The sequence below is a fragment of the Homo sapiens genome, chromosome 12, assembly GCF_000001405.40.
Source record: "Homo sapiens chromosome 12, GRCh38.p14 Primary Assembly".
NCBI lineage: Eukaryota > Metazoa > Chordata > Mammalia > Primates > Hominidae > Homo > Homo sapiens.
Window position 1 is genome coordinate 117,502,083 of NC_000012.12, and position 23,350 is coordinate 117,525,432.

General features: G+C 45.1%; 1 protein-coding gene and 1 long non-coding RNA gene across 7 annotated transcripts in view, besides 1 other annotated feature; one reads left to right on the forward strand and one right to left on the reverse strand.

Moving 5' to 3' along the window:
* Positions 1-23,350, reverse strand: part of KSR2 (kinase suppressor of ras 2) — a 515,979-nt gene that overhangs the window by 49,071 nt on the left and 443,558 nt on the right. For 5 of the 6 annotated variants that reach the window (XM_011538224.4, NM_173598.6, XM_011538225.4 and 2 more), the window contains one exon: positions 22,770-23,137. In XM_011538224.4, the coding sequence (XP_011536526.1) occupies positions 22,770-23,137 (368 nt within the window). Of the gene's footprint in view, positions 1-15,201; positions 15,771-22,769; positions 23,138-23,350 lie in introns of those variants that run through there. The other variant, XM_011538226.4, reaches the window with a different exon arrangement.
* On the forward strand, positions 11,471-15,139 carry LOC105370012 (uncharacterized). Its single transcript, XR_945405.3, has 3 exons — positions 11,471-11,540; positions 12,983-13,101; positions 14,982-15,139. It is a non-coding gene; the product is annotated as an uncharacterized LOC105370012 (long non-coding RNA).
* Positions 16,802-17,096: an enhancer, noted in NCBI's record as "tiled region #11046; HepG2 Activating DNase matched - State 8:EnhW". NCBI's record gives its function as "activates a minimal TATA promoter and a strong SV40 promoter by Sharpr-MPRA in HepG2 cells {active_cell/tissue: HepG2}" and the evidence as "EXISTENCE:reporter gene assay evidence [ECO:0000049][PMID:27701403]".

The window sequence follows — 23,350 nt, forward strand, 5'->3', positions numbered from 1 at the left end:
AGTGTGACATATGTCTGTGCACACAGGTATTTACATGGGCATTCTTGTTTCTGAGTGCAGGTGTATGTCTGCGTCTGTGACTATTTATGCACACATGAACACACATAAAGACATGTCAATGCATGCATGTGCATGACTGTAGGCGCATGTGTGTGTACATATGTATGTGGACTCACGTGTGTAGGGGTCTTTGCATTTATGTGCCCATCTATGTCTATGTATCTGTATGTTTTTTTGTGACCTGACTTGGGGACAGCAATATGGGTTCCATCATGCCAACTGCAGAACTGGCCTTTCTCATCCCTCAGAAAGCACTCTGGGTCTGCATTTTCCCTGGACTTTGAAATGCTCCAATAAGAAAATCAATTATTTGTCTAAAATTAGAACTTCAGGTTGCCTAGGGGTGGGGAAAGTTGGGAGGAGGGTAGTGGGGAATGACTGGTAATGGGTATCGAATCGATTCCGTTTTTTTGAGGAGAGAGAAAATGTTCTAAAATTAGATTTTGGTGATAGTGGCAAAATTTTGTAAATATACTAAAAACTATTGACACTGTGTATGCTTTAAGTGACTAAACTTTAGGGTATATACATTATATATCAATAAAGTTGTTTTAAAAAAGAAAAAAACAAATGGAAGTTTACAAAATTCCCAACTCACTTCCTGTTGCTTTTGCTGAGGAGCCCTGAGCCAGGCAATGGGTAAAAATAAAACACCCTGATTTCACAGCTTTGTCAACCAGGGAAGGAACTTCTTCCAGTTTCAACAACCCATGCCTCTGCTGGCCTGACAACAAAGAACATTTGTGTTCTTTGCTCTCGAAGCTTTGTAAATAGAACTTGAAGGACCTAGGAGATTTGAAGAGGCCTGGGTGGGCAAGATATTGGGGCGGACACTGAGAGGAAAACAAACTATCATTTCATTACCCCAAGAGGAATGGAGAAAAATTGAAGCCAGGGGAGTGTGCTGGCAGGAATCATTTCTTTGAGAAGGAGGAACAGAAATGAGAGTGGAGAGGGGAGAGAACTTATTAGGGGAGACAGTAGCACCTAGAGGTTAGGAGCTTGGAATTTGAAGTCAAAGCCAGGTTTCAGACCCAGTTTTGATATTCTTTACCTATGAGCTTTTGGGAAAGTTGCTTAAAAATCAATGCAGGTAGACAGACCAGAGTCTATGTCATAGGTCTGGAAGGGTTAAATTAGAAGATTCATGTGGTACAGACAACACCAGTGTTCATCAGATCTTCCTCCCTGTTGCTCCTAGGCACTCAGGAGACTACACTTTCCAATCTCTTTGCAGTTATGTTGCATATGTGACTGGCCCTGGCCAGTGAAAAGTAGGATGTTTTTATTGGCCTGGTTGGGGTATTTTAAAGTGCATTGCTCAATCCCCACTTTCTTTTCTTGTGCCACCCACGACCAAGGAGGCTCCAGGATGATATGCAGACCCACTAGATCAGAACAGCCTGAATCCCTGAGTGACTGCATGGAAGACAGCTGCCCTGGAGGATTGCCCAACCTATAGCCAACTTTACATGAGTGAGAAATAAACGTTCTGAGTAGCGAGAAATAAATGTTCACAGAGATTTTAGGGTTGTTTGTCATTGCAGCACAAGCCTATCCCTTCCTACCTAAAAGGACATGCAAAGAGGTTGGATCATTAAAAGCACTCAATATTGACAATTATGGTTGATTGATAGACCCCAAAATACAAAGTGAGTGAGGCCATGAGAAAAGAAGACAGACAGGGACAACAGCAAAATCAGCAAAAATAAGAGACTGCAGCTAGGATCAAACTTCCATAATAAACATCACTATTTTGGGAAAGCAAACTCTGGGATGGGAGTTGTATTTTCCTTTGTGTTGAAAAAACGTAGTTCTTTTCCAAATGCCCACAAACACTTACCTCTATTTGTACATAAATGGGCAGCACAATGATTTTAAAAACCAACAGGCAAATGGGAATCTGTGCTTGGTGAGATTCAATTTCATTTTTTTGTTAATAGCTTTCTCCTACTTCTCACAGATAGAAAGCAAGCCACTCTAGGGCTGTGACCTCACCTCTCAATCATTTGAAAACAGAAAATAAATGTCCAGAGAGATTAAAAACATGGGTTCTGTGCCCCAAAAGTTGTCATGTGACAATGTTGCATCTTCATGGGAAAGATGAAAACTCCATGTAATCCTATTACGAATATTTCCATTAGCCACCAAGTCTCACCTTGGTAATCTGTTTCAATTGAAAGTCCTGTCATTCCCCAAAACCCAATTTAGAAGGTGCAGGGACAAAATATAAGTTTGTGCCAATTTCTCAAAGATGAGCAAAAATCATCACTTGAGTTCATCTGGGATTCTTTTTTCCCTTAATCTCTTAACTCCGGGGCACTAAAAGAATTATTTCCCAATGTTCACCAAGGTAACCTTGTCCTCTCAGGCCTCCTTAAAAATTCCATAGGCACTCTAGCTTCTATCTATGAAGTGTGGAGGGTGGAGATATGGGGATCTTAACAAGCAAATGCCCAGCTACCTGGATATCCAAGGTTCTTGTGCTTTTGCATGCTCTGGGAAGGTTAGTAGGAAGGGGTGACTGGGACTGGTGCCACAGTATATACAAAAAGAGTCAAGATCAGCCAGACTGTTCAAACAGCCCACCCAGCACCAGAATCTTTTAAAAAAATCTTTGTTAAAATTTCAGTAGCTTTTGGGGTACAAGTGGTTTTTGGTTGCATGTATGTATTATACAGTGACAAATTCTGAGATTTTAGTGTACCTGTCATCTGAATAGTGTATGTTGTACCCAATATGTAGTTTTTAATCCCACACTCCCTTCTCCCATTCTCCCCATTCCGAGTCTCCAAAGCCTATTATATCACTCTGTATGCCTTTGCGTATTCATAGCTTAGCTCCCACTTGTAAGTGAGAATATATGGTGTTTGGTTTCCATTCCTGAGTTACTTAATAATGGCCTCCAGCTTCATCCAAGTTGCTGCAAAAGACATGATTTAGTTCATTTTTATGGACGAGTAGTATTCCATGGTGTATATATACCACATTTTCTTTATTCACTCATTGGTCAATGGACACTTAGGTTGGTTCCGTGTCTTGGCAATTGTGAATTGGCCCGCACCAGAATCCTGACCTTGTGTCAGTCCTTATGCAGTCCCCTCACCAACGTGGAAGCTATCACATCATGTTGAGCACACTGAAGGTGGGTGGGAATAGCTGGCCCCATTTTCCATCAAGGAAATGGGTTTAACTCAAACCCTAGAGGCAGCACATGGTGGATGTCGCCCTCCCTCCAAGACCAAAACCCAAACGTTTTGTTTTCATGCCCTTTTATTTTTCATCAGATCACCCCAGCCTCTTGCTCAAACAGAAGCTCAAATGCTTCTGTTGCTTACACCCATGGAACCCTGGGCAAATAACATTTCCTGGAGTCTGATCTGTAAAACAGTGACAATCACATTCTCCTCTCAGGTTGCAAGCATCCAATAGCGTAAAGTATGTATAATGTGCTCAGCACACTGCATAGCACCTGACAAGGCTCAACTATCCACTTTTCTTATCACAATTACTCATCCAGGAGAGTCAGGATACATTAGGCTTTGGTGTCCCTCACTGCATATCCCCCAGTTGGCACCATTTGCTCCAACTCAATTGAGCTATTTGAAGTTTTGCAAATGTGACCTCTTTTTTCTGCCACCTTCTTGCTTCTGTCTATGCTGTTCCTTATACCAAGAACACCCTTCCTCTAATCCCCATTTCTTCCAAAATGTCTTATTCCACAAGAAACAGCCCATTTCACCACTCAGTCAGTCCCTTTCTCTGAATTCTCTTCATGCCCTTTGCACACCTCTGTTTCAACACTTCCTTCCCTGTATAATGATTCCTGAATTCCTATCTTCCCCATGGCTGAGAGGCTACTGAGGACAAGCATGTCTTATAAAGCCCCGCAGCTCCAGTACCTACTACCTCCTGGCTATGTTTGATGAATGACTGGACAAGTGAATGAATGGATACACAAATTATTAACAAAGTTATTTCTGAACATTTTGATCACGGGACACAGATCTTGATCCTCTACCACTAAGAAAGAATCTTCAAAGTCGATACACATGTCACCAGTATTGGGCCCAACGAAACATCTTCTCTGTCAAAATTAGGAGCTAAATATCAAGGCTTTCAGATGCAATTTCGTGAATTATTTCAACCAGGCAGCCTGGAAGAATTAGACTATGGATTTTATTGGTTCTCCATATTATATGTTAATACTCTTTTGGCAGCCTGAAAATGACATTTCTCTTTCCAGCCAATATCACCTCTTTCTCTACTTAGCAAACATTGATATATTTTTTTCCTGAGTTGTCAATTTCAGGTTGCAATTTCCATCCCTGTTTGGTGCACGCATGTGACAGTCTGTTTGCTTCAGAGATTGAGAAATAAAATCCCCTGGGTGTCAGAAGAGTTTTGGGTCATCCACAAGCCTGACTGTTTCCTCCCAGCATAGCTGCCAAGACCACACACCTTTTTAGAGAATAAATGTAGTAGCCAGGAAGTGACAGAGATGGGGCTGCACCAAAGTCTATAGGATTCCAGAGTGCTATGCAGTTCTGACTCTGAGATGGGAGGAAAGAGAAATTTGGTTTGGCATGGCTTATTCTGGGAATAGTTCAGTGGTTCCCAGTCCTGCTTCCATAATAGGATTGCCTGGAGATATATATATGTCAGTAGATCAATAGATAGATAGATTTATTTATATATGTATGTGTGTGTGTGTGTATATATATGTATACACACACATATATAAATAAATAAAAGATCCAACCCAGATTCACTGAATCAGGATCTTTTGGGGTTGAGGGTGGAGCCCAGGCATTACTTAGAATTCAAAACTCCCAGGTAATTCGAATGTTCACCCAGGTTGCCAACCACTGGAAAAGCTGAAAACACTCATTTTGATTCAGTAAAGGAAAAAAGTCTCTCATTTTCATTAAAATCCACCTGAAACACTATTTGCCCCTCACATCTGCTTTGCATTTTTCTGTTTACAAAACACTTTCACCTACATGGTTTAATCTACTGCCTGAACTCTGTGGGATGGGCAGCAGTGTGCCCGTTCTATACAGCAGGAAGCTGAGGATCACAGAACCCAAGTGACTTGCCCAAGGCCATTCAGCACCAGGATGGCAAACTAGGTCTTCTAACCTCAAATCCAAGAGGCTTTCCTGAAATGAAAGGACCAGAGGTCTTTAAGTCACTTAAAGAAGGCCATGGCCATTCATCTCCAATAAGGGAATGAGTTTAAGGGTCCTGATTTTGAGACTTGACCCCAAAGGACATTCATTCTTTCTAGGGTTGACCAAAGGCTTTTACTAGGCTACTGAAACAGCAACATAAAGCCAAATGTCAAATTCAGACTGGATGGGGAAGAAAGAGGCCAAGGTGTACTCCTTAGAGACCATTTTGAGATAAAGTGAAGGCTTCTGGAGTTGCAAAGCAAGGGCCGTGAAGGCTGGCTGGTGTCCTTCTGTCACCAGCAGCCCCATCTGCCTTCAGACAGGAATGTGCTGAGGCTCTTATTCTGATTGGTTTTCTTGAGTGGGTTAAACCTACCCCCCTGCGATCTTGTTTGAACTACTGATTTGCTTAGCAAACACTTTCTCTATAAATAATGAGTAAGTAAACTCCAGCCTGCTGCTGATTGCTGATAAATTGTTATGAGTTGGGAGTTAATGGGGTATAAAATAGGCAGTGAGCAGCCCCCACCCCCACTCCTATTGGAAATCAGGCTGAACTACCTCAGGACCTGCTAAACTGGCACCTTCTCTCCCTGTCCCCGTGGCCCAAGCCTATCCTTTTCCCCTCCATTTATCATCACCTCCCAGGCTGAGATAAAAAGCCACCCTCCCTTGTCATCTTCCCAGGGTCTTAGACCTCTACACTCATCAGCCTTGGGTTCCACAAAAGTTAGATCCAAAGGGAAGGAAACCTGCAGGAAAAGACAATTCTGATTATTTTAGTCCTGCTGCCTGTATTTTCCTTTGAGGGGGAGTCTGTTTTATGTTTATATCAGGGAATGTGATCCACAGATGTGCAGTTCACTAAAATTCCCATCTACTGATGCTCCCCTAGACTTATTTGTTGTTGGCTCTAAACACGTGATACCAGAATGATGCTGACCACAGCCTTCCCATGCTACTGGCCATCATGTCTTGCCTCAAGGAGTCGGCTTTAATTGTGACACACGGCATGCTTCCATCACATCCCAGAAGAAAAGCCCCACTCACAAACTTCTAGCACCTGGGATTGCACGTTAGAGAGTAAGATTTCAACAACTATTTGCTGAACAGCTAGGTGGCTAGAGTAATGATGGGTGAGTGGATGGGTGCATGAATGGATAGGTGGGAGGGTTGGAGAGTGGGAACATGGATGGATGGATTGATTAATGGTGATTAAACAGATGGGTGGGTAGGTAGGTGGATAGCTGGGTGTTGAACAGATAGATGGATGAGAGGGTAGGTGAATGGATGGGTGGATGGCTAGATTAATGGTGGGAAGATGGATGGGTGGGAAGTGGATAGGTGGACTGACAGGATGAATGGGTAAATGGACAGGTGGATGTTAAACAGATGAATGGATGAGAGGGTGGGTGCATGGGTAGATAAATGAGTGGATGGGTAGGTTAATTGTGGGTAGATGGATGGGTGGCTGGATAGGTGGTTAGTGGGTAGGTGAATGGGTAGATGGATAGGTGGATGTTAAACAGATGGGTGGATGTGAAGGTGGGTAGATGGATAGATGGGTGGATGGATGTTGAATGAATGGATGAGAGGGTGGGTGGGTGGATGGGGTGGATGGGATGGATGAGTGGATGGATGGTAGGTGGGCTTATATTGAATAGATGGATGGTTCAGAGGGTGATTGGATGGGCAGGGGGACAGGTAAGGGGTCTGGGGGATATAAGATGGTTGAATTGATAGGAGGATGGATGGATGCGTGATCATTCACTTCTGAGGGTTCAGCTTAGGTCAAACAGGTCCAGACAAGGAGGTACATGGTCCAGCTAAAGATGAAGCAGATAATGTTATAATCATTTCAAAAACAAGAAAACAGAGCTAGAAGGTTGAAAGGCTTGTCTAGAGTCACACAGTGGTAGAAGAAGAACGTGAATTCTTGGCCCCCTCCTCCTTCCATCCCCTTCCCTCTTTGCATTCAGCACCTGATGGAAGGCCCAACCCTCTGAATGCCAGGCAAACAGCACCGTGTTTTCCCCTCCAATTCAGGAGCCAGGTGGTGAGATAAGGCCTAGGGATAGGGCAGCACCAAGGCTGGAAAAGGGACCGAAAGAAAGAGAGCAGGGAGGTAGGAAAGCACACAAACCAAACCCTGCAGAAGGAAGGGCTGCAAGGCCAGCTGAGCCTAGCAACTGCAGCTTATTGACAAGATAGAATAATAATCCACTGAGCTTCAGTGCTATGAGAACTTGTCAAAGGCAGCCCTTGTTGCTCAGAGAGAGATCAGACCCAGGGAACTGAGACGCTCTGACAGTCCTCAATGGTCTACAAACACTTCCAAACAAGTCTGCCGAGAATCCTTGATCTGCACCTCCAAGTCCCGAAGGGCTGTGCTAATAACAGCCTTGGAGGGACTGGTCTCAGCTGGGGAAATTCTGAGGATGCTTGTGACCCCCTTCTTTGCCTTTGAAGATACCTGATCTGTTCCCTTCTCGAGGTTCCTCTCAGTCTTTTAAACACCTAGAAGAAACAATCTTCTTTTGAAGAGGACTCGAAGTCGAATCTTTTGATTTAAAGCAAGAGTGACTTCTCAGCTGCATACTTTCTACTGCCATCAAAGGGAGAAGATGACAAGAGGGCTGGGGAGAAGGGCCTCTGCTTCTCATCACTCAGTCTCAGAGCAAGGACAGACACTTCCCTGGAGACTACAGAGGCGCTGACTGTGGGTCCCCTCAGTTGCAGTTCTAACTTTAAATTTTGGTCACCTACACCTGCCAACTCAAGAAGAAAGTTCTCTTCAGCGATAAGGTGCTTATGTATACTTGCTTTGACAACAGCAGGCATGAGCTCAAATCCTAGTTCCATCAATACCAAAAGCACCAAGCCCACTGATACGTGGAAAAAGTCAAAGTGCTTAGAACAGTTCTGGACACACAGTCAATACTTCTTAAACTATTATTATTACTACGTGATTTAAAAGATTATTCCACTTTTCTGTAGTCTTGGTTACTTTATGAAGAATTTTCAGTTTTGCCTAACCACCTAGAGAAATGCACACAGTTACCTCTACATGATAGATGAGAACACTAAGGCTCAGAGAGGTGAGGTGATTTTGTCCAAGGTGACACAGCCAGCAAGTGACAAGGCTAGAACATTCATCCAGGACATCTAACTCCATACCCAATATTCTTTCTACTGCAGCAAGGGACAAGAGTGTTGTATTTACGTCACCTCCATTGAGTCCCTGTGATACAGTGCTAGCAGTAACAATGTCTGCGACAGGCCGGGAGCAGTGGCTCATGCCTGTAATCCCAGCACTTTGGGAGGCCAAGGCAGGTAGGTTGCTTTGAGCTTAGGCGTTTGAGAACAGCCTGGGCAACATGGAGAAATCCTGTCTCTACCAAAAATACAAAAATTAGCCAGGCATGGTGGCATGTGCCTGTGGTCCCAACTACTCGGGAGGCTGAGACTGGAGAATTGTTTGAACCTGGCAGGTGGAGGTTGCAGTGAGCTGAGATCGCACCACTGCATTCTAGCCTGGGCAACAGACTGAGACCCTGTCTCAAAAAAAAAAAAAAAAAAAAAATCCTCAACAACAGCAGCAGATGTCAACACTAATCTAGCACTTGATGTGTACCAGGCACTATTTTCAGAGCCTTATGTCTATCAATTCATTTAATCTTCACATTTATCCCACCTGGTAGGGACTGTTAGACTATTACTACCTCCATTGAACGGATGCAGAAACTGAGGCTCAGACAGTCTAAGTGATTACCAACACAAAAGAAAAACTTGTGTAAGCAAATCTGCACTAAAGTTCAATTACTCAAGACCCAGAACAACTAGCAAACCAAGCATTCCCCTACAGGCTCTTTTGGTGACCACTCGGCTTCTGTTTCCTGATGATCCACAAGGCCAGGCACTGGCGGACACACAGGTGCTCAACTCTGATGTGGAAGAACATTTCTTTCCAGTTCAAAATTTCTATATGGCAGAAAATTCTTACAAATTTTACTTTATACCCAAGAGTAAGAGAAGTGGCCAGACTACGGCAATGACCTATGAAATTCATCTTGGGAAGGCATGGAGAATAGCCAAAAAGAATAACCAAACAAAGATTTTATGCATTCTTTAAGATGACCCAGTACAGCCTGGCAGGGTTAGGACTCAAGCTCTGAAATCAGAGGTCAAGGTTATGCCCTAGCTTAGCCTAACACCAGCTATATGTCTTTGAACAAGCCACCTTACCTCTCTAATCCCCAGCTTTCTCATCTGTAAAACAGGATAACGATTTTAAAAAGCAGTATCTACAAAGTCCTTAGCACAGTGCCTAGTGTGCAGTAGTTGCTCAAGGAATCTGTTTCCCTTAATAAATATCCATAGTGCCATTTCACAAGGAAGCCCTCTTTCATATGAAAAATGATTCGCCCAAGTGACCAACTTCCCTTCCGTATTTTTAAAGGACAGTGGTGGCAAACATCAATGATCAGTTTGGAAAACAATACTGCTCAGTCCCCAGAGAGGACATGTCTCCTGGAAGTCAATGCATTTCCTGTCTCAGCGACCCCACACTGCCATTCTGGTGAATTTTAGCTCTCTCCTTGCTGGGAACTGTTGCTGGGAAAGGATCTTCCAGTTCTGTCCTTGATCCCTCCGATGACTCCGATAACTGAAATAGTCCCACTAACCTGGTTCAGAGGGTGAAGAGCTCCACTCCCAACTGAACCCTAGCCCTACACTGGAAATGTACATGGTATGCAATTACAGGTTGAATTATCAAATTACAGGTTGAGATGTCAAATGTCACTGGGCAGGTGAATAAAGGAAGTCTGCATGCAGTGGTAAAACCACAGCCTAACAAGATGTTAAGGCTGCAAGAATTCTGAGGGACGTTTTTCTAGTTGCATCCCATTTGTCCTTTCAACACCAGCCTCTAAGCTGCTGACCACTCCCCTTGCTGGACACTGAGTGTCCCAAGCTTCCATGACAATACCCTCTTCCTGGTTTTCCTCAATTCTCTTGTTCCTATCAGTCTTCCTTGCAGGAATGCTGCGTCCTCTTCTCTTCTCAGCTTTTTCTTTCCCCTAACAAAGCTGCTGGTTCTCAAAGTGGGGTCCCCAGACCTGCAGCATCCGTATCACCTGGGATGACTGTTAAACATTGTTAAAGTGCATATTCCCAGGCCCCTCCCAGACCTACTGAATGAGAAACTCTGGGGGTAGGACCCAGCAATCTGTATTTTCAAAAGCCCTCCATAAGCTTCTGATGCACGTTTCAGTGTGAAATCCATGCCTTCTAATACCCATGCTTTCTAATACCACCCAGCATGAATGGCTCCCAGGCTAATATCTCCAGTCTAGAACTCATCTCTGAACAGCGAGATATCTAAATGTCTACTTAACATCACCTCTTAATAGACTTAGAGGCACCTCACATTCAACATCCCCAACCAAAATCTCCTGATTTTGCTCCCTGAGCCTAACTTCAGTATCCTGGTCCCAACCTGACATCATGTCCCACCTTTCCCTCCTCTATTTTCTTCCAGTGACACCAGAAGGCCAAACATTAACAGAACCTTGCTGCCCATAGGCAGAAGGGATTTCTGGGCACTGGACATCTAGACAACAAAAAAAGCAAACACTAAATACAGTTTCTCTTGGAGGAAAACCTCTCCTAGGATTTCTGTAGTTCACCGCCCACCCCTCCCCCCGCAAAAAAATCAGTGAGCACCTACTTTGTGCAGGTGCTGTGTTTGAGTCTGGGGATACTGAGTCATTCTGTCTGTCCTCCCTCCATCTCGTTTCCCTCTTCTGCCAAACAAATTCTTATGTCACAAAGATATATGATCTCAATGCATATATTAATACATCTATTGATTTTCCTCTTGCCAGTCATTATCAAGATTTATTTATCCTCACAGCTCTCCATTGATTGAGGAAAGCAGTATTCCCAGTGGTCAATCAATCCTGATATACTCCATGACAAGGAGTCAATATCTATTTATTATTTGATTTATGGACCTAATTATCTTAAACATGATCAGGCAGGGGGCAAGGCCAAAGCTGAGCAGTGATCAAGCAACTGGAGCCAGGTTGGGAATACATCAAACCAAAGTCTGGGGCCCAGCAAGTTTCTGAACAGTGCAGACACACTGATTTTACCCTTCCCACTCTCACCACCCCAGCATCTGCCGCTGGGGAAGGAGAGGGAAAGGGACAAGTGGCAGGGTTTCAATTTGTGCCTGCTGCCAACTCAACAAGTCACAAGCCAGGCAGGTTTGGTGGTTTGGACAATGAACCTGATTTGGAGGTAGGTCAGTTGTTGTCCTTCCCAGGGAATGGGACCCAGCAGTGGGGAGTTCTTAAGGTGTCCGTGGGACATAAGAAAGTGGGATGGACTCAGGCACGGCTAGAAAGGGAAAGAGGACGAGAGAGTGGATGGATACAAGCTTCAGTATGAATCAGACAGTCTCTTCCTAGCTTATGACCTTGGGCAAAATCGTAATTAAAAGCTGATTCCCTGCAATCTGACCAACCTGCATGAATTACTGGTTTTTCTGTTTTTTGAATCTCTTTCATGATCCCTTGAAGTAGGTACCGTTCAATTCCCCTATTTACAGACAAGGAAATGGATTGCATGGTACCTACTTCAGAGGGTTGTTAATTACAACGTTGTCTCCCTATGTAAAGCTGTCCCCATACTCCCAAATCTTTGTTTAACCACTGCCTGCCGGCAATACTGAGGAAACCATCCCTTTGCTTTCTGGAACACATGGTAAGGGCCCGATGTTGCCCACACTTGCCTTCAAAACATGCAAATGCAGCTGGCTATTTTTAACGTTGGTAAATAGTGAAAGCTGTTGAAAATGCCTTCATTTCCAAAGGCCTGCCAACTCCCTGTTGCTTTCCCCTACGGGAGGCATGCCAAAAATCTCTTAGAACCTAGGGCATTGAAGCCTGCATTTGTTCCTGCTAATGTCTGATTAGGAGCAACACTAACCGTCCACACCATTTTTGGAGGAGGGGAATACATCACCAACCCTACTGCAAGCTCTCTTAAGAAGAGGGAATGTCCCAAAATAGTCTTTATAAAATGCAAACCAGACTGTGTCCCTCCTCTGGTTTAATCCCTGGGTGGCTCCCCTGACTGCCTTTGGGAGAAAGGTTCAAGTTCCTTAGCCTGACTTGAAAGGTCCTTTAAGATGTCTTTGGTTTCTCTCTCTCTCTCTCTCTTTTTTTTTTTTTTTTTTGAGACAGGGTTTCACTCTGTTGCCCAAGCTGGAGTGCAGTGGTATGATCATGGCTTTCTCACTGCAGCCTCAGTCTCCCAGGCTCAAGCAATCCTTCTGTCTCAGCCTCCCAACTCGCTGGGACTACAGGAGCACACCATCACATCTGGCTAGTTTTTTAATTTTTGTAGAGATGGGGTGTCCCTGTGCTGCCCAGGCTGGTCTTGAACTCCTGGGCTCAAGAGATCTTCCCACCTTGGCCTCCCAAAGTGCTGCAATTACCGGTGTGAGCCACCGCACCCGGTCAGATCTCTCTAGTTTCATATCTCTTGCTACTCCCCGTATATATCCTCTACTCCAGCTCTTGCCCCTCCCCTGGCCTTGCTACCTCCTACCTCTAAGCCTTTGCATATGCTGTCCCCTCCATTAGGAATGTCACTCCCTTCTTGTCCATCTGCCTAATTACTTGGTTGGATAAGGGGCAGGTTCCAGGTCCCCATGTACCCCTGGGATCTTATTGCAGAGATCACGACACCGTTGGAGAATCATCCAGTTAATTTCCTTGTCTGTGAGCTCCATGACGGGCAGACATCATGCCTTCCTCTCTCTATTTCCATCATCAGGCACTGGACCCTATACACAGTAAGTGAGTGGGGAAATACTCCTTTACTGCACTGTTATAACTTACATCACATACTTGGCATCTCTTTTCTTTTCATCACTGTTACTTCTCCCACATCCTATAGTCATCCCTCCAGTGCGTACTATATTTTCTTTATGTCTACTCATTTCCCAGTGATTCTAAGTAAATAGCACCATTCATTGTCTGCTGCTACACTTGCCTAGAGGAGCAGGCTGTGCTAATGTGTGTGAATGTATTTTTGTAAATGTGTTAATCCATTCAACAAGTATGTATGGAGGACCTAGTATTTTGGGGGCTGGGGATACAGAGGTGAGTCAAATAGCTGAGATCCTTGCTCTCCTGGGGCTTATGTTCTAAGGTGGGGGAGGGAATGCAGGGGAAAAAGTAAGTGAGCAAACATAGAAGAACAAAATAATAATTATCTTATGATGAGAAGCACCTTGATGAAAATAAAATGCAGGCCAGGCACGGTGGCTCACGCCTGTAATCCCAGCACTTTGGGAGGCTGAGGCGGGCAGATCATTTGAGGTCAGGAGTTCAAGACAAGGCTGGCCAACATGGTGAAACCCCGTCTCTACTAAAAACACAAAAATTAGTTGGGTGAGGTGGCATGTGCCTGTAATCCCAGCTGCTGGGGAGGCTAAGGCAGGAGAATTACTTGAATCCAGGAGGCGCAGGTTGCAGTGAACTGAGATTGTGCCACTGCACTCCAGCCTGGGTGACAGACCAAGACCTTGTTTCAAAAATAAAATAAAACACAGCAATGTAATAGGAGGAGACAGAGATGGGAGAAGCTGCACAGTGGGAACAATTTTGGGTTGGCTTCCTGACTTCATGCTCCTCTGGTTGCCTCTACCATCCAGCCACTTCTTCTTGGTCCCCTTGCAGAATTTCCCATCTCAACCGGGCCACAATGCTGCAGGTGTTCCGGGCTTCAGGTGGTCTGGGCTTCATCCTCAGGCAACCCTCCTCTTTTCCCCAGATGACCTCAGCTTCAGAAGAAGTCCATGACTTCCATCACCATGTCTATGCAGATGACTCATACATGGTTATTTCTAGTCCCAACCTTTCGTCCAAGCTTGAGACCAGGATATCTAGCTCCCTACTCGAGATCTCCCTCTGGATGGCTCAAAGCTTACAGAGGTTCAGTAACTTGGCCAGGGTGCAAGCCAGGAGCACAGCTGGGACACAAATCCAAGCAATCAAACTGCAGTCACTGACTCCTATCATTTGGTATTATAATAAACACAAAACACTTGCTGTTTGTAGTGTCAAAGATGTTTTGGCACCTGAGAGAAAATACATGACTTCTACCATTTGCTGCTACCATTATTATTATTGTTGTTATTATATCATTATTATTATAGCATCATTTTATAGGAGATAAAAGTTATTGAGCACTCCAGTTACAGGAGGCACTATGCTATAGTCTTTTCATATACATCTCTAATTCTTATCACCATCTTGCAAAAGAGATAAATGTTATCCCCATTCTATATGTGGAGAAATTAAGACAAGCAGGAGTGAAGAAATTTGCAATAGACCCAAATGCCAAAGGGGAGTGTTTCATACACATACTGTTTAGTGAATATAGCAAGTCATGAAACAGGGTTGCTGGTATGAGTCTATTTCTCATGGGAGAAGAAGATCTATCCATAAAGATGAATGTGTGTCTCAGAGCTCCTGGCTGTTCATAAATCCCACTGTTTTCCTCCTGGGAATACAGTTAGCTATTTTCCAGTCTTCTTTGCAGTTAGGTATGGCCAACAGACTCAGCACCAGCCAATGGCACATAAGTGAAGTGATGTGTACCACTTGTAGGCGGCTCACAGACCACCCCCCTCCATAGGATGTTCCATGCCCCTTCCTTTTTCCTCAGCTAGAGGCAGAGGACTGTGCAGCTTAGAAGAAGGCAAATCCAAAAGAAGGACATGGTTTGGATCCCCCCATACGTGGAGAAAAGCCACCTACCATCCAAAAACTTGCATCTTGGACTATTACATGGACAAGAAATAAACTTATATTGCGTTAAACCACGTCATGTTTTAAGACTTATTTGTTACAGCAGCTACCATTACCCTGACCAATACAAAGTGTGAATTTACACATATTCTGGGACAAATGCCTGGATGGATATACACTAAGATGTTAATGTCATTCTCTCTGGCTGGAGGCATTATGGGTGAATTTCATTTTCTTCTTTCTGCTGATCTGCATTTGCAATTGCAAACAAGTCATTCACTTGTGTAATAAGATACACAGTTTTTTAAAGTGATGACAGATGTCACACGTGCTAATTCAGGATCTTTGAGATTCGAGGAGAGTGGTGGCCAGTGGTGAGGTCTTCAGCCATGCAAATCCTCTGCTGCTCATAGGATGGATTACACAGGCGTATGCAATGTACATGAGATGATGCTGATAATAATAATGATAATGATGCTGTACATTTATAGCGCTTCCTTCACAAAAGTCCCAGGGTGCTTTACATTTCAGCACAATTAAAGGCAGCCACAGACAAAAAACCTTTTCAGCTGTGCTTTATAAAGGGAAAGCGATTCAGCTTTTTGAACATAAAAGGAAGCCGCTTCCACTCGATGATGGGGACGGAATCTTCATGTGCTCAGGCCCCCCAACTCCTGTACGTTATATTTAGGACAATCAAACTGGCCTGAAGAGAAACAAAAATTAGAAAGACCACAAGTACAGGAGTTACAGAAAAAGCAAGTTGATGGAGTTACCACCTTAACAGAAGGCAGGGTTCTCCATGCATCTGTCAAATATAGCAGCTTGGTGCTATTATATTTGAAAGCATGGAAAACAGGAACTGATTTGGAGTTGGAAATAAATAATCTATTAAGTAGTTCCTGATATTTACTGGATTTAAAATGCTGTGCAAATGAGGCCCCATGGGATTTCATTACTACCTTGTCCCTAGGAGATGGGTAAGTGCTGGATATTTCATGCACGCGGGCAACAGTTAACCTCACATAACTGAGAAGATGCCTCTCAGACTCTGGGAACCCAGCGAGGGGATTGGTGACATGCGCCAAATGAGAAATTTAAAAAATCATCCTGGGGGGCATGGGGAAATCCAGTTCTTCCTTCCTCTTTTTTCCTGGGGCACACAGTCTGAGCCCCTCAATTACAAGATGTTTAGGTAATGCCCCTAATACCTCGCCCCATCCTACCCCAATCCCTGGGAAAGGATCCTGATGAAATTCACTGGTATCGTTCCTAAGAGCCCCACATAGGTGGAAATGGCAAACTGACAGTCAGGATACCCCAGAGCCTTTTCTCTTGGCTTGTGCCCTTTGGCGCTGGGTTTCCTTGATGCCATCACTATTCTAACCCATATGCATTTTGACACATTGAACCAACCAGCTGAGTGCAAGAGGAGGTAGGATCTTGGCCATCAGGAAACCCCCAGAGTAGCGTGGGCAGCTGCCATTTAAAACCTTACGTGGGCTTCCCATTGCCGTAGGATAAACACTACATTCCTTTCTATGGCATTCAAAGCCTTGCAATTATCTGGCCTCTGCAGCCCCTTTCTATAGCTCCTCAAACGTACCAATCTCATACCTACCCCAGGGCCTTTGCACCTGCAGTACCTCTACCTGAACTGCTCTTTCTCTGCCTCTTGGCATGGCCAATGCCTCTTCATTGCTAGATCCTAGCTCAAATGTCACTTCCCCTATGAAGCCCCCTCTGAGCCCCTCTTCAAAGTAGCCCTCCCATCACTCTGACCCATCGATCACCCTGACTGTGGCCTTCACAGCACTTATTACGATGCTTTAATGATCTTACGTGTTTGTTTAACTTGTTATTGTCTGTCTCTTCTGGAATGCAAAGTCCACAGTACAAACTGTAGACACTGTGTTCTGAGTGTCTATCATGTGGTCTGGCACTGTGCCGGGGTCCGATGAATGTCTGTGGAAGGCGCGTTAGTGGAATGTGCTAGCACTGAAGCTAACAGATGGCTCTCAGGCCCCTGCAGGTGCTGATATTGGGTCATTCTAGGCCCTCACCCATTTTGGACTCAGCTGCACACCTCTCAGTTAGTGCCTGAGAGAAGAGGTTTCCAAGGTGTGCCCGAAGCTCTTGGCAGTTGTAAAGGCAGTTTGCTCCAGGTGGGAGGAAGGACCCGCTTTCTTTAAAGCAGCAGGTCTCACAATTGAGCATGAACAAGAATTCCATATAGGGCTTCTTAAAACCCAGCTTGTTGGACACACCCGCAGAGGTTCTGATTCAGCGGGGGAGGGTGGGAGAGAGAATTAACATTTCTAACAAGTTCACAGGTAAGGCTGGTTAGGGAACCACATGATACGAAGCACAGATTTACATAATTTTAGAGTTCTACAAAATAATTTGGGGAGTGGGGAAGGGGGTGACGTGGGGGCTTCTGTGAGGGACTGTACGTTCTCTGAGTTCTGCACAGCAGTTTTGTGAGCTGCTAATATTTGTGGAATGAGTGTTTTGCAGGGAAAGATAGAGTGTGTGCATTTCTTTGAGGGGATGTGGGAAAGAGAACAGGAGAGAAAGAAGAGAAGATGGTGTGTAATTTAGCGTATATATAGAAGAGGAGCGAGTGTGTGTGTGTGCGTGTGTGTGTGTGCACGTGTGTGTGTGCATGGTTGTGCTGGTGCCACAGGAATTTACAGGGTATTGGAGAAGCACATAAACACCGGAAAATCAAGGCTACAAAAATGAAACTCAGTTCTAATAGGCCAGTGGTTCTTAAACTGTGGCGTGAACAAAATCCCCTGGCACTTACTAAAAAGGATAGAGGTCCAAGCTAATTGAAGTAGGATGGGGCCTCAGCCCTGAATTGTGATCAATTTCTCCAGGTGATTGTGATATGACCAAAAATGCAGAATCTCTGTGTCACCAAAGTGCTCACAGATGGAGCCCATTCCCCTTGGTGTAGCTAAGGCGGCCATTGGCAAAGAAGGAACCTACCAGACTAGTATTTAGATATACATTTGCTTAGTCCCAGTTCTGCCAGTTATTTGTTCTATGATTTGGGCAAGGGCTCCCTCTGCCTTTCTGACCTCAGTTTTCTCACCTGTAAAATAGGCACAAGGATAAATAGGAGAACCTCACCACGCCTGGCCTGAAGCGAAGCACTTGCTGAAAGCTGATGGAATCTGCTGCTTTTTTGGTTTATTTTTGAGGGCTCTGTCTTGGTTCTACCCCACAACCAGGGAACTGATTTCAGCAAAAAGGCTCAGCCACGCCACCTAGCATGGCTTGGCTTCTGCTGGTTCAGAGCCTTACCCACTGTCAGAACAGCAACCCTAATATGGTGATCTTCATAACACAGGGTTTGCCAGTCTGACCGAGGGCAGCAAAATGGGGTGAAAGCAAGGACACTGAGTGTCCACCAAGATCATCAGCCCTTTGATTACAATGGGAAGTTAGGGCAGATAAGCAGATCATTTCCTTAAACTGTCGTTGCCTTTGCACTAGGCAAAATATCTCCCTTTGTGCACCCACCCTTTATTTTTGAGGCTTCCTCATTCTTGTCCTCCAACAACACCATGTCACACCCCTGCCTACAGCCCTCCAACGGCTGCTCACTGCCCTTGGCATAAAATCAGGACTCCTCACCAGGGATTCTATAACTGAGGGTTCAAACCTGGCTGTGTGATAGAGTCCCCTGCACTCTGGACAATGTCTCGAGGGCATTTTGGTTGTCACAACTTGACGCTTAGTGCTACTGGCATCTAGTGAGTAGAGGCCAGGGACGCTGCCAAACATCCTACAGTCCCCACCACAAAGGCTTTTCTGACCCCAAATATCAGTAGTGCTGAAGATGAGAGACTCTGCTCTGGGGCAGGGCCAGGCACTGTTACTGTATTAAAAGCTCCCCTTCCTCCACCAGGCTTGAGAACCCCTGCCCTCTCCAGTCTTGCTCCTGACAGCTTCTCTACCCTCACCTTCTCCCCTTTGCCCTCACCTGCCACCATCACAGTCTTTTTTCTGGAATCTGCATTTTTACAACTTTCCTCTCCTAGGACTCTGGTGCAGGAAGGTCCAGGTACGCCATCTTTGAGAAGCACTGTTCCCAGCTGCTTCTCAAACACAGCTCATTATCAGACAAGCAAAGAATACTGTCAGAGTTGGCAGGACACTGCAAGAAACATCCGCTTCCACCTGCTCATTTTACAGAAGGAGAAACTAAGGCTTGTGAAACCCTAGGTAGCAAGGTAGACGGGTGAGAGACACTTTCACTCAACTCTATTGGCTTTCAGATTTCACTTGGAGTTTTTAACATGAGTGATTGCGCAGACCGTCGATAGCTTTGCAATAATCCCATAACGACCCAATTGTGAAACAATTTAGCAATCCTGCTGCTAATAGCATTTGCGGCTATAGCAATTGGGTAACTAGTTGGTTATTACTCATTCCCCAAGAGCCACACATATTGCATTGCAAGGAAGCTAATCTTAGAAATACTTGTTAACTTCGATGATAATTACTAAGTAATTGGCTAGAATGTGCCACTGTGAATTGATCCAGAATATGCCAGGTAATTATCTGGTCTTATGTTCCCTGTAAAATAAATCTAGGGTCCAAAAATGGTTCCAGTTGGTTGGCTATTGTCCAACCATCAACCTCTGCCAGCCAATCGTGCGAATGCAAGTGATTAATCAAATTACTCAAATATTTGGTTTCAAACTGAACGTGCAGATAAGAAACCTGGAGAGCCAACAAGTGGACAGTGCTGAACAGAAAGAGGGATGCACAGAGCCCCTCCCTAAGATAAATATATAACAACACAATAATATGGAATCAATGCCACTTCTTTGGGGCTCATCTGGCATCCTCACACAAAATACCAAAACACTTCAGAGACCAATTACACATCCCAAAGCTGCAGAGTCTTTATCGTGGTGCCAGGAAAAGGCTGGGCTATTTGTGAAATCTGTAGGCAGTTATGGCGCTTGGGGAGGGGGGCTCAGAATTTTGTACATAATAGAAGAGGGCCGCAAATGCAGCTGGCTTGCAGGATGAGCAACACATTTTCATAATGACCACTCGTTTTTCAAGGATGGCTGCTGAGTTTGTCTATTTCCAACTTGCTAGCCTTTGAGAAGGGGGTGAGGGAGGCATGGGGATTAGGCTTCATAGGTAATGCTGAACAGGGAGGCAGGAGGGTGGTAAGGAACTGACCAGACAGAAAGATGGGATAAGAGCTTAAGATGGGAGCAATGGAGAGAAGGCCAGGGGTGGGGAAAAGACCACCCTCCAACCAGACTTGTGTATCCCAAGTAATAGGCTATTGACTGCTGCTAAAAGATGATGATATATACTGGGTAAGAAAGGGAAGGAAAGGGAGCTAAGGGCCTCTCTGTAGTAAATCGCAAAAATAGCCACAGATTGTCCCCACCCTGCATCCATGTCCTTGCAGTGGGACATTGCAGATCTTCCCATTCAGAAGTAGAGGCTGTGTCTCCATGCCTTGAATCTAGTGGATAATAGGAGTTGCTCTGGCCAACAGATGTAGGTCTTGACCTCTTGCTACACTTGGAAACCTGAGACCGCCATGAGAATGAGCCTGAGCTAGCCTGTTGAGGATATCCCCTGACAATCTGCCAACCAGCAGACACACAGATGAGGGCATCTAAGACTGACTATCCCCTTGTTGACCCAGAGCTGACCACAGCCAACTACAAGAACCCAGCTACTGAGTCTGGCTCAGCCCAGAACTATCCATAGGATAGAGAGAAACCACTAAGTTGTGGAGTAGTACTCAGCAAAAGCTTAAACTCAGAACAGCTCAGCCCCTGAAGATTACCTGGGCTGATTGCTTCAGAGCCACTTCTGTCTTGTGCAGAGTTGAGAACCACCATTTTTACCCTGATTTAAGGAGGCTTGGAGGCCCATCCCTAGATCTCTAATCTTTCACCAGCGCTTATCATTCAAAGCACGAGTCACTCCAGTCAACCCACCATCTGCATCATCTATGGATACAGAATATAATGTACCTTCTACCAATCACCAAGTTCTCATAAGTGGACTTAAGAAGGTTTTGTCTCACAAGGGAAGAGATCAAAGACACACCAGCTCTTCTCTGAGCCCACAGCATCTGTTCTGGGCCTGGTAAGATGCAAGACTTGTGCATTTGGGGTCTCACTGCTTGAGCTGAGTAGAGCAAGGAGAGAGCTCCTAACAGCCCCTTGGCATCACAGGTCATACTAAGAATGCCATTGCAGAGGCCAGTCCTTATGTTACAGGGGAGTCAGCGCCAGAGTTTAAAAACAAACCAAAGGATTGTTTCACAACTGTTCCATCAAAACCAAAGCTATTTTTCTCCCAATGCCTCAAGCCTCTGGGAGAGGCCAGAGAGCAAATCTGAGAAAGTCCAAGAAACATTTTCGCAATGTTAGTTCTCTATGAACTATCCCTTCTTTGTACCCATAGACCACAGATCCTGGATATTCCAAACCACAATGGTAAAGACAGCAAATGTGCTCTGCAACTTTCATGAAAACCAGAGTAACACTTATCAGAATCTTGGCTCATGCTTGTCATCCCAGCACTTTGGGAGGCCAAGGCGGGCGGATCATCTGAGGTCAGGTGAACAAGACCAGCCTGACCAAAATGGCGAAACCCTGTCTCTACTAAAAATACAAAATTAGCCAGGCATGGTGGCACATGCCTGTAATCTCAGCTACTTAGGTGGCTGAGGCAGGAGAATCGCTTGAACCCGGGAGGTGGAGGTTGCAGTGAGCCGAGATCACACCATTGCACTCCAGCCTGGGCAAGAAGAGTGAAACTCTGTCTCAAAAAGAAAAAGAATCTTAATCAGGGGTTTGCAGACTACGGCCCATGGGACAAATACAGCCCACTCCCTGGGTTTGTAAATGACGTTTTATTGGGACACAGCCCTGCAATTTCATTTGCAGATTGTCTATAGCCGCTTTCAGACTACAGTGGTTGAGTAGAGTAGCTGCTACAGAAACTGTACAACCCACAAAGCTGAAAATATTTACTATTGGGCCCCTTACAAAAAAAAGTTGGCTGACTCCTGATTTAGTTGAATATACTCATTTCACATATGGAGAAAGTGACTCTTGGAGAAGCTGTTACACAAATACTTGGAATAGAGGGGGAACTAGACCCGATGTTTCTAATTCCCCATTTAGTAGTCTTTGGTTTTGCTAAAGAGTTTTAGCATTAAAAATATTTTCTGGGGTTAGGCGTGGTAGCTTACAGGCCTGTAATCCCAGCAGTCTGGGAGGTCAAGGCAGGAGGATTGCTTGAGGCCAGGAGTTTGAGACCATCCTGGGCAACATAGCAAGACCCCATCTCTACCAAAAAATTAAAAAATTAGCCAGGTGTGATGGCACACACCTGTAGCGCCAGCTATTTGGGAGGCTGAAGCGAAAGGATCTCTTGAGTCCAGGAGTTCAAGGCTGCTGTGAGCTATGATCATACCACTGCATTCAAGCCTGGGCAACAGAGGGAGACCCTGTCTCTAAAAAAACAAATAAGTAAAGTATTTTCTGGAATCTTAAATCTTAAACCATGTAAGTAAACTGTGCATGGTAGAACTAGAGATGGTCTATTAACCAGAGTGGTCAAGTAAGCAGAAAACCATTTCTCAACCATGCCAGAAGCAGAGTTTTGCCAATCCCTGGGTAGAAGCCCAGGTGGAACTGACCTGGTGATGATGGCCAGGTGAGGCGGGCTCATGCAGGCACCCATGAAAAGCACCACGTTCTCATGCCGTGTCTGCCTGTAGGCCATCACCTCCCGCTTGAAGGCCTTGAGCTGGTCCTCGTTGTCCCTCTCAATGTCAATCAGCCGGATGGCCACCTCGCCATGCCAGCGGCCGTGGTACACTTGCCCAAAGCGGCCCTTTCCAATGAGCTCGCCGATCTCCAGCTGCTCAAAGGGGATGTCCCACTCCTGAAGGAAGATGCTGGTCTGGCTGGCCTTGCGTGGGAAGCTCCGGGCCGAGAGGAGGGACAGGTTCATCTCCTCGAAGTCATCCTCTGACTCTTCGGCCTCATCATGGACCTCTTCATTCTGTGGCCGGAGTGGGAGAGAGGTCAGAATTGTGTCTGCCACTGCCCCAGCCTCCCTCATGGTCCTGCTGGGTCCCGTGCACATGCGTAGGTCTGGGCACATCTCTACATGCATTTGGAGCTTGTGCAGACATACGTCCCTCTGTTTCCCCAGCTCTAGAATCTGGTCTAGAATCATACTACAGTGAAGGTGCTGAAAGGGAGATCATGATCA